The sequence below is a fragment of the Homo sapiens genome, chromosome 2, assembly GCF_000001405.40.
Source record: "Homo sapiens chromosome 2, GRCh38.p14 Primary Assembly".
NCBI classification, from domain to species: Eukaryota; Metazoa; Chordata; class Mammalia; order Primates; family Hominidae; genus Homo; species Homo sapiens.
This window is the reverse complement of record NC_000002.12, coordinates 195,943,734-195,959,433: the sequence shown is the minus strand read 5'-3', so window position 1 is coordinate 195,959,433 and position 15,700 is coordinate 195,943,734. Positions and strand designations below refer to the sequence as shown.

Sequence of the window (15,700 nt, the reverse complement as noted above, 5' to 3'; positions counted from 1 at the left end):
GAAAGTGGTACATCTAGATTCCATTTTAAGGGACTATGCGTGATATCATTAGCTGCTTGGAAATTTTCTGAATCACACAAAAATTAGATAGAAAAAGAGGGAAGAAGAACAACAGAAGAAAGCAGAAGCATTCAGGTCTTCTTGTGCAAAGAGGTTAAACAAATTCAGTGATAAGCATTGAAAGAAAAATATTTTAGAAAGACATCTGAAAATGCCTGGTTACTTGGTGAACTCATTAACATTTCTTTGTTTTAAAGATCTAAAATCACAGAGCACCACTTAAATGATGAGTAATGTGTTAATATACGTAAGACTATGCCACATCTAAGTTCTGTTGCTATTTAATTAAATTAATTAATTAATTAATTAATTTGAGATGGAGTCTTGCTCTGCTGCCCAGGCTGGAGTGCAGTGGCACGATCTCAGCTCACTGCAACCTCCGCCTCCTGGATTCAAACGAAGTTGCTATTAATAAATCATTCTTCCTTATGACTATGTTATCTCTGATAGCAGAGTAATTACAACTGTCTGGGTTCAAATCTTGGCTCTATTGTTTATTATCTGGCTAAACTTGAGCCTGGCACTTGCCTCTATGTGCCTTAGTCTCTCCATTGATAAATAGATGTTACAATGGACCTTACCTCATAGGGTTGACATGATAATGGACTAAACACATAGAGACCTTAGAAATGTACTTGTAAAATTATTAGTTTATGGAGTAATTATATTTATTCTTGAGGAAATTAAATCATTATCTATATTCTCTATACTTAGAAACAAACTGATAACCTATTGTAAATTTAAATATTCCACCTTCTCATGAGTGCCACACTGTTTTGGAGTATGTACATTTTTCTTTAAATGCCAGTTACATCTTATAAATTGAAATACAGTTGACCCTTGAACAATTTGGGGTTTTAGGGGCGCTGACCCCCCACACAGTTGAAAACCTGCATATAACTTTTGACTCCTCAAAACCTTAACTACAAATAGCCTACTGTTAACCAGAAGCCTTAAAAATAACATAACACATACTTTGAATGTTACATGTATTATATACTATATTCTTAAAGTAGGCTGGAGAAAAGAAAATGTTATTAAGAAAATCATGAGAAAAATATATTTACTATTCATTAAGTGCCAGTGGATCATCATGAAGATCTTCATCCTCGTCATCTTCATGCCAAGTATACTGAGGAGGAGGAGGAAGAGGAGGGGTTGGTCTTCTTATCTCAGGGATGGCAGAAGCAGAAGAGGGGGAGAGGGTGTTAGGGGAGACAGGAGAGTCAGGCAAAGTCCATGTAACCTTTATTGAAAAAAATCCGTGTAAAAGTGGACCTACACAGTTGAAACCTGTGTTGTTGAAGGGTCAACTATATTTTAGAAATAAGGGCTTTATTCTAGAAATAAAGCCTTTATGAGCCCAAATTAAGGGGGGAAAAAGAACATTAAAGGAAAAGAGTATTGGATGTAACTATCTTTCCTCAGAAGCTCAGAGTACCCTTGATTGGGAATACCTTTACTGTCAACAAAATCTCATTTTTCAATTTGTACTCTCTAGCCATGGAACTAGATAGCAGAAAGGTTTATTGCTATGACATATACAGAAACCAGCCCAATAGTAGATAAGTATATCTTAACGTGTATATCTCTATAAGCATAAATGTTATATTATTATCTTTAAACATATTTTGTAGAACAAATCTAGTGATTTATCTTTAAATGCAACTAGATGAATGGAAATTGGAATATTATATACATTATATACAAGATTGTATATAATGTATAACAATTGTATAACATTATATACAAGATTGTATATAATGTATAACAATTGTATAACATTATATACAAGATTGTATATAATGTATAACAATTGTATAACATTATATACAACATTGACAACCTAGTTGTGGTTTGAATTTTGTCATTTGAAACATTTGCTTGGTTTGCTGTCAGTAAGAGCCACTGTGTTTTGCTCCTCAGAGAATGGGAGGGCAAGCTCCTACTGCTTCAGGAGATTCTGGATGAATGGCTCAAAGTCCAAGCCACGTGGCTGTATCTGGAGCCCATTTTCAGCTCTCCAGACATTATGTCTCAAATGCCTGAGGAAGGCAGACGATTTACAGCTGTGGATAAGACATGGAGAGATATAATGAGAAGTGTCATGCAGGTAGGTGAAAAAATCTCCAAAAATGTCATTATTTGGTTGAAGTGACATGATTTTTGTTTTCAGAAATCCATATAAGCCATTATTGTTTCCAATAAGCCATTATCTGTTTCATACATACATTGTCTTTTCAGCTATTATTTTAGAATGCCAGGAGCAGAAAATGTCGCAAGCAAAAGTAGGTATTTTGTCCTGATTACTCCTTGAGGTCCAAATTGGAATTTGCATTGTTTAACAACCTTTGGTTCTGTTATTGGTTCTTATCTGATGCACTGGAGGGAAGACACTGTACGAGGTACTTGCTGTCTCCGTCTATTCTGTGGCTCTCTTGTTATGGAATGCAACCCACTGAAACTCACTGTGGTGCACACATGTCAGTATGCCAACCTCTCAACACATGTTTCTGGTAGGGACCTAAAAAAAGATGAGTTGCAAGGATAAATATATCTAAAAAGTCCAATAAATGCAAATAAAATGCAATAAAGAAAGAAAAATACACAAATACTGTGGAGGAGAACTTAAAATTTAAGCTAAAGAGAGAATTTAATAAAAACCAGTAACACTAAAAAAAAGTACGTTTTTTGTTCAATTCAGAAGACTTTTTTTTTTTTTTGAGACAGAGTCTCGCTCTGTCACCCAGGCTGGAGTGCAGTGGTGCAATCTTGGCTTACTGCAACCTTTGCCTCCCAGGCTCAAGTGATTCTCCCGCCTCAGCCTCCCAAGTAACTGAGATTACAGGTGTGTGCCACCATGCCCAGCTAATTTTTGTATTTTTAGTAGACATGGGGTTTCACCATGTTGGCCAGGCTGGTCTCGATCTCTTGACCTCAAGTGATCCACCCGCCTCGGCCTCCCAAAATGCTGGGATTGCAGGCGTGAGCCACCATGACTGGCAGAATACATTTATTCACTGCCTCGGAAGCATGGTTGTGTGTCATTAAATATTAAAATAGAAAAAAGTTATTAAATCATATCATTAAATGAATATAAACTTCTGCATTGGTATTTTGATAAAATATAATACTATAAGGTAGGATAAGTATTATCTTAAAAATGTCTTACCCTGAAATAGAAATATGCATATCTTTATTGTTATTTAAACTTTAAGAGCTGTTACTATAATCCGAAATATTGATAATACTGTATTGACGTCAACTATATGATCTGATAGGAAAATATTCAGAAAGATGGACATGGTTTTATTTATTTAATCTTTACCTCATTTATGTAATAATACCTGAAACAAATCTTTTTATAAACCAAACTTCTGTAAAATTAATCACACTGGAATTAATTCCATATTTAAAGAACCTATTAGTAAGTTGCTTTGTAACACAATCATCTCTAATTAATTTATGTCATAAATTCAGTCTTTTATATATAGTTTCCTTACAACAGTGCAAAATCCTTATAATATGGATATATTTCCATTTAGAAGGTGATGAAGGAGAATTTTTTGTTGTTTTAAAAAGCAAAAAGTAGATACTTGTATTCTTTTAGTTAGTATATTTAAAAAATTAAATTCTTTTTAAATATGTAATCAAAATACTCTTCAAAATTCCATATTGCCAAGAAATTTTATAGATATCTCAGTTCCTTGAAAGGGCAGCTGTGTTGGGCCTTGTAAATAAAGGAGGCAAATTTTTATCCTATGAAACCACTGGAAACAAACAAAAACATTACTTACCCTAATTTCTAAATAAATAGGTATTTTCTGTTGGGGAGGGGAGAGTAACACTTCATTTACTTTTGCTTAAGACTTGATTGTCTTAATCCTAAGCCAAAAGAACAAAGCTGGAGGCATCATGCTACCTGACTTCAAACTATACTACAAGGCTACAGTAACCAAAACAGCATGGTACTGGTACCAAAACAGAGATATAGACCAATGGAACAGAAGAGAGCCCTCAGAAATAATACCACACGTCTACAACCATCTGATCTTTGACAAACCTGACAAAAACAAGAAATGGGGAAAGGATTCCCTATTTAATAAATGGTGCTGGGAAAACTGGCTAGCCATATGTAGAAAGCTGAAACTGGATCCCTTCCTTACACCTTATACAAAAATTAAGTCAAGATGGATTAAAGACTTAAGTGTTAGACCTAAAACCATAAAAACTGTAGAAGAAAACCTAGGCAATACCATTCAAGACATAGGCATGGGCAAGGACTTCATGTCTAAAACACCAAAAGCCATGGCAACAAAAGCCAAAATTGACAAATGGGGTATAATTAAACTAAAGAGCTTCTGCACGGCAAAAGAAACTACCATCAGAGTGAACAGGCAACCTACAGAATGGGAGAAAATTTTTGCAATCTACCCATCTGACAAAGGGCTAATATCCAGATTCTACAAAGAACTCCAACAAATTTACAAGAAAAAAACAACCCCATCAACAAGTGGGTGAAGGATATGAACAGACACTTCTCAAAAGAAGACATTTATGCAGCCAACAGGCACATGAAAAAATGCTCATCATCACTGGCCATCAGAGAAATGCAAATCAAAACCACAATGAGATAACATCTCATGCCAGTTAGAATGGCAATCATTAAAAAGTCAGGAAACAACAGGTGCTGGAGAGGATGTGGAGAAATAGGAACACTTTTACACTGTTGGTGGGACTGTGAACTAGTTCAACCATTGTGGAAGACAGTGTGGTGATTCCTCAAGGATCTAGAACTAGAAATACCATTTGACCCAGCCATCCCATTACTGGGTATATACCCAAAGGATTATAAATCATGCTGCTATAAAAACACATGCATATGTATGTTTATTGTGGCACTATTCACAATAGCAAAGACTTGGAACCAACCCAAGTGTCCATCAGTGATAGACTGGGTAAAGAAAATGTGGCACATATACACAATGGAATACTATGCAGCCATAAATAAGGATGAGTTCATGTCCTTTGTAGGGACATGGATGAAGCTGGAAACCATGATTCTCAGCAAACTATTGCAAGGACAGGAAACCAAACACCACATGTTCTCACTCATAGGTGGGAATTGAACAGTGAGAACACCTGGACACAGGAAGGGGAACATCACATACCAGGGCCTGTCGTGGGGTGGGGAGAGTGGGGAGGGATAGCATTAGGAGATATACCTAATGTTAAATGACGAGTTAATGGGTGCAGCACACCAACATGGCACATGTATACATATGTAACAAACCTGCATGTTGTGCACATGTACCCTAGAACTTAAAGTATAATTAATAAAATTTAAAAAAAAGACTCGATTGTCTTTCTCATCTGCTTTGCATTTTCTCTTTCTCCATATGTTAGTATTCAGGGAAGCTTTTGCTCATGCTCTCCAAAGAGCTGAAAATAAACATAAACCCATATTCTTTTAGGAAGTCTAATGACATGGTGTGTATAGTAGAGGCCACTGGATTAATTGCTTGGTACATCAGGTTATTGCCTTCATTCTTAGGAGTTCCTAATAAAGGTTCTTTTAAAAACCTCAGAGGTTGAAAATAGGATGTAAATACTGTTGTTAATATAACTGGCTTACAGTGTAAACAAAGCCGCTGGGAAGTTCCAACTGGGTAGAGCCCAGAACACTGCAGCTCAGCAAAGCTGCTGTAGACAGACTGTCTCTCTAGATTCCTCCTCTCTGGGCAGGGCATCTCTGAAAGAAAGGCAGCAGCCCCAGTCAGGGGCTTATAGATAAAACTCCCATCTCCCTGGGACAGACCACCCATGGGAAGGGGCGGCTGTGGGCACAGCTTCAGCAGACTTAAACGTTCCTACCTGCTGGCTCTGAAGAGAGCAGTGGATCACCCAGCACAGCGCTTGAGTTCTGCTAAGAGACAGACTGCCTTCTCAGGTGGGCCCCTGACCTCTGTGCCTCCTGACTGGGAAATACCTCCCAGCCAGGGTCAACAGACACCTCATACAGGAGAACTCCAGCTGGCATCTGGCGGGTGCCCCTCTGGGACGAAGCTTCCAGAGGAAGGAATAGGCAGCAATCTTTGCTGTTCTGCAGCCTCTGCTGGTGATACCCAGGCAAACAGGGTCTGGAGTGGACCTCCAGCACACTCCAGCAGACCTGCAGCAGAGGGGCCTGAGTATTAGAAGGAAAACCAACAAACAGAAAGGATTAGCATCAACATCAACAAAAAGGGCATCCACACAAAAACCCCATCCGAAGGTCACCAGCATCAAAGACCAAACGTAGATAAACCCACGAAGATGAGGAAAAACCAGGCAAAAAGGCTGAAAATTACAAAAACCAGAATGCCTCTTCTCCTCCAAAGGATTACAACTCCTTGCCAGCAAGGGAACAACACTGGACCGAGAATGAGTTTCACAAATTGACAGAAGTAGGCTTCAGAAGGTGGGTAATAACAAACTCCTCCAAGCTAAAGGAGCATGTTCTAACCCAATGCAAGGAAGCTAAGAACCTTGAAAAAAGGTTAGACGAATTGCTAACTAGAATAACCAGTGTAGAGAGGAACATAAATGACCTGATGGAGCTGAAAAACACAGCACGAGAACTTTGTGAACCATACACAAGTATCAATAGCCAAATTGATCTAGTAGAAGAAAGGGTATCAGAGATTGAAGAGCAACTTAATGAAATAAAGCATGAAGACAAGATGAGAGAGAAAAAGAATGAAAAGGAACGAACAAAGCCTTCAAGAAATATGGGACTATGTGAAAAGACCAAACCTGCATGTTTGATTGGTGTACCTGAAATTGACGGGGAGAATGGAACCAAGCTGGAAAACACTCTTCAGGATATTATCCAGGAGAACTTCCCCAGCCTAGCAAGACAGGCCAACATTCAAATTCAGGAAATACAGAGAACACCACAGAGATACTCCTCGAGAAGAGCAACCCCAAGACACATAGTCGTCAGATTCACCAAGGTTGAAATGAAGGAAAAAATGTTAAGGGCAGCCAGAAAGGTCGGGTTACCCACAAAGGGAAGCCCATTGAACTAACAGCAGATCTCTCTGCAGAAGCCCTCCAAGCCAGAAAAGAGTAGGGGCCAATATTCAACATTCTTAAAGAAAAGAATTTTCAACCTAGAATTTTATATCCAGCCAAACTAAGCTTCATAAGTGAAGGATAAATAAAATCCTTTACAGACAAACAAATCCTGAGAGATTTTGTCAACACCAGGCCTGCCTTACTAGAGCTCCTGAAGGAAGCACTAAACATGGAAAGAAACAACTAGCATCAGCCACTGCAAAAACATACCAAATTGTAAAGATCATTGACACTATGAAGAAACTGCATCAACTAATGGGCCAAATAACCAGCTAGCATCATAATGACAGGATCAAATTCACACATAACTATATTAACCTTAAATGTAAGCAGGCTAAATGCCCCAATTAAAAGACACAGACTGTCACATTGGATAAAGAGTCAAGCCCCATCGGTGTGCTGTATTCAGGAGACCCATCTCATGTGCAGGCACACACATAGGCTCAAAATGAAGGGATGGAGGAATATTTACCAAGCAAATGGAAAGAAAAAAAAAAGAGGTTGCAATCCTAGTCTCTGATAAAACAGACTTTAAACCAACAAAGATCAAAAGAGACAAGGCCATTACATAATGGTAAAGGGATCAATACAACAAGAAGAGCTAACTATCCTAAATATACATGCACCCAACATAGGAGCACCCAGATTCATAAAGCAAGTTCTTAGAGACCTAAGAAGAGACTTGGACTCCCACACAATAATAGTGGGAGGCTTTAGCACCCCACAGTATTAGACAGATCAACGAGACAGAAAATTAACAAGGATATTCAGGACTTCAACCCAGCTGTGGACCAAGCAGGGCTAGTAGACATCTGCAGAATGCTCTGCCCCAAATCAACAGAATATACATTCTTCTCAGTACCATATCACAGTTACTCTAAATTTGGCCACATAATTGGAAGTAAAACACTCCTCAGCAAATGCAAAAGAACAGAAATCATAACAAACAGTCTCTCAGACCATGGTGCAATCAAATTAGAACTCAGAGTTAAGAAACTCACTCAAAACCACACAACTACATGGAAACTGAACAACCTGCTCCTGAATGACTACTGGGTAAATAACTAAATTAAGGCAGAAATAAATAAGTTCTTTGAAGCCGATGAGAACAAAGACACAACATACCAGAATCTCTGGGATACAGGTAAAGCAGTGTTTAGAGGGAACTTTATAGCACTAAATGCTCACAGGAGAAAGTGGGAAAGATCTAAAATCGACAGACACCCTAACATCACAATTTAAAGAACTAGAGAACCAAGAGCAAACAAGTTCAAAAGCTAGCAGAAGACAAGAAATAACTTAGATCAGAGCAGAACTGAAGGAGATAGAGACACAAAAAACCTGTCAAAAAAAATCATTGAATCCAGGAGCTGGGTTTTTTTTTTTTTTTTTTTTTTTTTTTTGAGACAGAGTCCCACTCTGTTGCCTAGGCTGGAGTGCAGTGGCATGGTCTTGGCTCACTGCAAGCTTCGCCTCCTGGGTTCACGCCATTCTCCCACCTTAGCCTTCCGAGTAGCTGGGACTACAGGCACCCGCCACCACGCCTGGCTAATTTTGGTTTTGTATTTTTAGTAGAGATGGGGTTTCACCATGTTAGCCAGGATGGTTTCGATCCCTTGACCTTGTGATCTGCCCGCTTCAGCCTCCCAAAGTGCTGGGATTACAGGCGTGAGCCACCATGCTCAGCCAGGAGCTGGTTTTTTGGAAAGATTAACAAAATAGATAGACTGCTAGCCAGACTAATGAAGAAGAAAAGAGAGAAGAATCAAATAGACACAATAAAAAAAATGATAAAGGGGATATCACCACCGGCCCCACAGAAATACAAACTACCATCACAGAGATTACTATAAACACCTCTGCATAAATAAACTACAAAACCTAGAAGAAATGGATAAATTCTTGGGCACATACACCCTCCCAAAACTAAACCAGGAAGAAGTTGAATCCCTGAATAGACTAATAACAAGTTCTGAAATTGAGGCAGTAATTAATAGCCTACCAACCAAAAAAAAGCCCAGGACCAGAGAGATTCACAGCCGAATTCTACCAGAGGAGTGCAAAGAGGAGCTGGCACCATTCCTTTTGAAACTGTTCCAAAGAATAGAAAAAGAGAGGGACTCCTCCCTAACCCATTTATGAGGCCAGCATCATCCTGATACCAAAACCTGGCAGAGACACAACAAAAAAAGAAAATTTCAGGCCAATATCCCTGATGGACATTGATGCGAAAATCCTCAATAAAATACTGGCAAACCAAATCTAGCAGCACATCAAAAAGCTTATCCAGCATGATCAAGTCAGTTTCATCCCTGGGATGCAAGGCTAGTTCAACATATACAAATCAGTAAACGTAATCCATCACATAAGCAGAACCAATGACAAAAACCACATGATTATCTCAATAGATGCAGAAAAGACCTTTGATAAAATTCAACATCACATTATGCTAAAAACTCTCAATAAACTAGGTATTTATGGAACGTATCTCAAAATAATAATGTATTTATGACAAACCCACAGCCAATATCATACTGAATGGGCAAAAGCTGGAAGCATTCCCTCTGAAAAACCGGCACAAGACAAAGATGCCCTCTCTCACCACTCCTATTCAACATAGTATTGGAAGTTCTGGCCAGGGCAATCAGGCAGGATAAAGAAATAAAGGGTAAGCCAGGCGCTGTGGCTCATGCCTGTAATCCCAGCGCTTTGGGAGGCTGAAGCAGGTGGATCACCTGTGGTCAGGAGTTCGAGACCGGCCTGACCAACAAGGTGAAACTCCATCTCTACTGAAAATACGAAAATTAGCCAGGTGTAGTGGTGTGTGACTGTAGTCCCAGCTACTCAGGAAGCGAAGACAGGAGAATTGCTTGAACTCGGGAGGCAGAGGTTGCAGTGAACTGAGGTTGTGCCACTGCACTCCAGCCAGGACAATGGAGTGAGACTCCATCTCAATAAATAAATAAATAAATAAATAAGTGGTATTCAAAAAGGAAGAGAGGAAGTCAGATTGTCTCTGTTTGCAGATGACATGATTGCATATTTAGAAAACTCCATTGTCTCAGCCCAAAATCTCCTTAAGCTGATAAGCAACTTCAGAAAAGTCTCAGGATACAAAATCAGTGTGCAGAAATCACAAGCATTCCTATATACCAATAATAGACAAACAGCCAAATCATGAGCGAACTCCCATTCACAATTCCTACAAAAAGAATAAAATACCTAGGAATACAACTTACAAGGGATGTGAAGGACCTCTTCAAGGAGGACTACAAACCACTGCTCAAGGAAGTAAGAGAAGATACAAACAAATGGAAAAAGATTCCATGCTCATGGATAGGAAGAATCAGTATCGTGAAAATGGCCATACTGCCCAAAGTAATTAATAGATTCAGTGCTATCTTCATCAAGCTGCTATTGACTTTCTTCACAGAATTAGAAAAAAACCACTTTAAATTTCATATGGAACCAAAAAAGAGCCCTTATAGCCAAGACAATCCTAAGCAAAAAGAACAAAGCAAGAGGCATCACGCTACCTGACTTCAAACTATACTACAAGGCTACAGTAACCGAAACAGCATGGTGCTGGTACCAAAACAGAGATATAGACCAATGGAACAGAACAGAGACCTCAGAAATCACACCACACATCTACAACCATCTGATCTTTGACAAACCTGACAAAAACAAGCAATGAGGAAGGCGTTCCCTATTTAATAAATGGTGTTGGGAAAACTGGCTAGCCATAGGCAGAAAACTGAAACTGGACCCCTTCCTTACACCTTATACAAAAATTAACTCAAGATGGATTAAAGACTTAAACGTAAGACCTAAAACCATAAAAACCCTAGAAGAAAACCTAGGCAATACCATTCAGGATACAGGCATGGGCAAAGCCTTCAAGACTAAAACACCAAAAGCAATGGCAACACAAGCCAAAATTGACAAATGGGATATAATTAAACTAAAGAGCTTCTGCACAGCAAAATAAACTATCATCAGAGTAAACAGGCAGTCTACAGAATGGGAGAAAATTTTTGCAATCTATCCATCTGACAAAGGACTAATATCCAGAATCTACAATGAACTTAAGCCAATTTACAAGAAAAAAAACAACCCCATCAGAAAGTGGGCAAGGCATGTGAACAGACACTTCTCAAAAGAAGACATTTATGTGGCCAACAAACCTATGAAAAAAAGCTCATTATCACTGGTCATTAGAGAAATGCAAATCAAAACCACAATGAGATACCATCTCATGCCAGTTAGAATGGTGATCACTAAAAAGTCAGGAAACAACAGATGCTGGAGGGGCTGTGAAGGAATAGGAACGTTTTTACAGTGTTGGTGGGAGCGTAAATTAGTTCAACCATTGTGGAAGACAGTGTGGTGATTCCTCAAGGATCTAGGACCAGAAATACCATTTGACCCAGCAATCCCATTACTGGGTATATACCCACAGGATTATAAATCATTCTGCTATAAAGACACATGCACACGTGTGTTTATTGCAGCACTATTCACAATAGCAAATACTTGGAACCAACCCAAATGTCCATCAATGATAGACTGGATAAAGAAAATGTGGCACATATACACCATGGAATAATATGCAGCCATAAAAAAGGATGAGTTCATGTCCTTTACAGGGACATGAATGAAGCTGGAAACCATCATTTTCAGCAAACTAACACAGGAACAGAAAACCAAACACTACATGTTCTCACTCATAAATGGGAGTAGAACAATGAGCACACATGGACACAGGGAGGGGAACGTCACACACTGGGGCCTGTTGTGGGGTGAAGGGGTAGGGGAGGGATAGCATTAGGAGAAATACCTAATGTAGATGACTAGTTGATAGGGTCAGCAAACCACGATGGCACGTGTATACCTATGTAACAAACCTGCACGTTCTGCACATGTATCCCAGAACTTAAAGTATAATCATAATTTAAAAAAATAAGACATGTGGCTCACGCCTGTGATCCAGCACTTTGGGAGGCCAAGGCGGTGGATTACCTGAGGTCAGGAGTTCGAGACCAGCCTGGCCAACATGGTGAAACCCCGTCTCTACTAAAAATACTATATATATAAAAATAATATATAATTATGTAGATATATAATATATAATTATAATTATATATATTATAATTATATAAATATATATATAATTGGCTTTATTGAGATGTCTTGGTTTCCTTGAGGTGTAAACATGAAATAATCTTATAATTCATGCTACCAACTATACTCAACCAGTGACCTTTCTCACTCAGAGAGGCTCCCTTATTGATCTTTCAATCTAATTCCAGAATTTTTCAGTCACTTTTGCTTATTAAGAGAGTTTTGTACCTGTTTCAAATCCTCAGTCTTCTGTTCTACTCTGAGCTCTCCTCTTCCCCACAGTGCAAGTAAACATGAAGTTCCAGGGGTGGGGAGATATGGAGACTACTCTCCCACTCTACTTCTCTCCTCCTGTGCTTCTCATCTGGGTTTGGGACAAGGACCGGGTGAAGAGAAGGAGGAAGGGAGGGATGGGGAGAGAGAAAGTAAGAGGGAGAGAGAAAGAGAGAGAAAGAAAGAGAGAGTGAGGGTAAAAGAACATTTTCTGATATACCTGATCCTGCAAAATGGGCTGTTCTTTTTTGTCAGTGGTCATAAGGTAATTAACCTCCTGTCAGTGATGTGAAGGCCCTGTGCCTTTTCTGTTGGTCTTTGCAACTGGTCTAGCCTGTTGGAGAGTTGTGGGTATGTAATGAGCACAGATTAATCCGGGGTAGACAGGTGAAGATCCAACACAGGTCTGGCTGCTGAGGGACTTCATCTTGAGTATCTCCCCTAGGTTTGTTCGTTGTCTGGGAGATTTGGCTACATCTTCAAACTGACCTTCTGATGTTGTATTTTGCCATATTTTTGTTGTGTATGTCTCTTTACCCCATACTGTAGCAGTATTTCACAAATCTTCAGCCTTTAATTTCATATGCCTGCTTACTTTTAAGATTAGGTTATGGGAAAAAATTTTTCATCTGCCTGCCATAGCCCAAAAGTGGGGTCTGCAGAAGGGCACAATTCATCTTCCCTACCCACTTTGTTTGTATCCTTGAGCATATAGTTCTTGCCCCTTCTTCACTGGCCATTCCACCACACCATCTTCTCCCAGAGTTTTTTTCCTGTTCTAGTAGCATTGGAGCAGTTCAGCACACCGGGTGACTGACCAGATCTCCAGCTAGGAAAGATGTCAGTTTCCTCTCCTTTCAGGCCCTTAGAAAATTTATTAGGGACTCTCTTGGGCCCCCCTTCTTGAGATTCAGGGAATGGGAACTAGTTAATTACCCACCAGATGGAGATGAAGTAAGTGGATAATCCCTCTCTGCATGCTGCATTTCACCCCCAAACTTGGTTTTTGACTCATCCAAGTCTTTTGTATTTCATGCAAAGCAGACAAAAACACTCTTAAATTTTTTCCCAAACATTTTCCTTTTCTTGTCTAACCCCATCTCAATAAATATAACACTATTCTTTCTGTTGCTCAGGCCAAAAACTTAGTACTCATTCTTTATTTTCCTTGTTTTCTTTACTGTAGTAAATGTAATTTGGCAACAAGCATTTCACCTCTATCTAGTGAGCTGAAAAGCAGAAAAGATCATCTGCCAGGCTCTCTACATCTGACTTTCTGGAAGTGAATTAGATCTTGTCAGTTAGATACACTCATTTGGGATTTGGATGGAAAAAGTGAAAGTGACCAGCTTTCTGTCATTTTAGCTATTTCTGCTGTCAAGGAAGATCGTGAACACATGACTTTTTTTTCCAACAGGACTTATCTGGTTACCAGTTTTATAGGTATTATGAGGCAGTGATAATGGTGGCCTCCTGATCCCACCCAGTGAACTCTGGCATCAGAGCCACCATGATGGGTTGTTGAACTCAGTATTTCCAATGGTGTTATCCTTTAGTCCTGATTGGGGCAGAAGTAGTAAATCCTGAAAAGTCAGTTCTTATGTTTTAGTAGTCTGTCCTGGAAGTATGCTCCCCTAGGCTTTCCAGTGATTTTGTAATCACTTTATTCCCTGTGTTAAATTCCTTTTTGCTTAATATGTAGAAGGGTTCTGCACTGAACTTGAATAAACTATACCAGAACCTCAAGTATGAGATCTAGGATTGTTTATGACCCACTTGGGTTTTAGAGTAGTGAAGATCTAGTTATTGCTTGAAAATAGGACACTAGGAGTATCTGGTATGCAGTGTAAAAATCACTCAATCAATTATGTTCTTAGACTTCCAGAATGAACAATCTGTTGTACAGGGAAGTGTTTGGTGGACCATGAGGCTGCTTGAATAGGTCAATATGATAAGAATTTGAAGTACAAGGGAGGTGAGATGGGCTGAATTCTTTAAAAAGCACTGGAGAAATAAAAGACATGGTATAATTTGCAGTTTTAAATTCTCTGCTCAAGATGTGGTCAGAAAACTAAGAAACTTCTGTGATTTGCTAAAAGAGCCTTTTATTTCTCATAGCTACAAATTTGATATAGCCAAAAATGAGTTATAGAATCTGATTCAATAGGTCACCAAATTTCAATGTAATTTAATTCATGGCCTTTCTAGATCTGTTATGTGAAAGATAGTTTACTTATTGCAAAGCATGGGGTGGTGAAAACTGAAAATGGGGACACTTGGATGTAATTGACTCTGGGTACCCTGACCCTCAAACTCTGTTTAGCCTCACTTGCCAGAATCCTTGGCAGAGGTGTAGATAAATTAAGTGGCAATATATTGTAATGGTGCTTGTGTAGGGAGGAAAGAACATAAGTTAGATGTGGTCAAATGTGTTGATATGGGTGCACTTACCAGAGATCCTGTTTCAAGATGCTAGTCAAGGAGCTGTGAGTGGTTCTGTTTACTTGTTTTATTGACCAAACCTGGCTTCTGTAATGGCCTGTCTCAATTAGATAGAAATGGTAGAAAATCCTTGATTGGATTTAAAGAAATTAGAGAGTTGCTTGCAGATGTTTGTGCCGCATATGCTTGCACCATCCAGAAGTGGAAATTATAACTCCACTTAGGGGTGGACTTAACAATAGGAAAGAAATTCTTCTCATGGGCATAACTTCAATAATTATATTGGTTTTCTAACTTTCCTTGGAAAGAGTGCTTGGTCAGAAGTATGAATTTATGTTGATGATGGTCAGTAGCAAACAGTTATGCTGCATAATCAAGGACTTAGAAACAAGTTTGAAGGATTGGGAAAAAGGAAGACTGGGGAAGAGGTATGTAAGGAATCAGAGAATATACCTAAAAGCGAGCATATTTGTGTTCCATGTGATTGCTTAGTAGCAGGTGCAACTGCAAAAGGAGGAACTTAATTATATGGTTGACCAGTTGACCTAGTCTGTACATGTCAACCGGCATATGCCACTATGTGCACAGTGAGCTATGAAATAGAATAATCATTTAATATATTGTCCAAATTGGAGAACATTTGAGAGTTAAAGCAATTAATAATCTGAGAAAGCAAGCATGA

The 15,700-nt window shown here is 39.0% G+C and overlaps 1 protein-coding gene across 11 annotated transcripts in view; it reads left to right on the top strand.

Moving 5' to 3' along the window:
* Window positions 1–15,700, top strand: part of DNAH7 (dynein axonemal heavy chain 7) — a 331,135-nt gene that overhangs the window by 109,404 nt on the left and 206,031 nt on the right. For all 11 annotated transcript variants that reach the window (XR_922968.4, XM_011511488.4, XM_017004504.3 and 8 more), the window contains one exon: window positions 1,987–2,173. Coding sequence is in view for 10 of the 11 variants with exons in the window: in XM_011511488.4 (XP_011509790.1) it covers window positions 1,987–2,173 (187 nt within the window). In the remaining variant the exon portion in view is untranslated. The remainder of the gene's footprint in view (window positions 1–1,986; window positions 2,174–15,700) is intronic.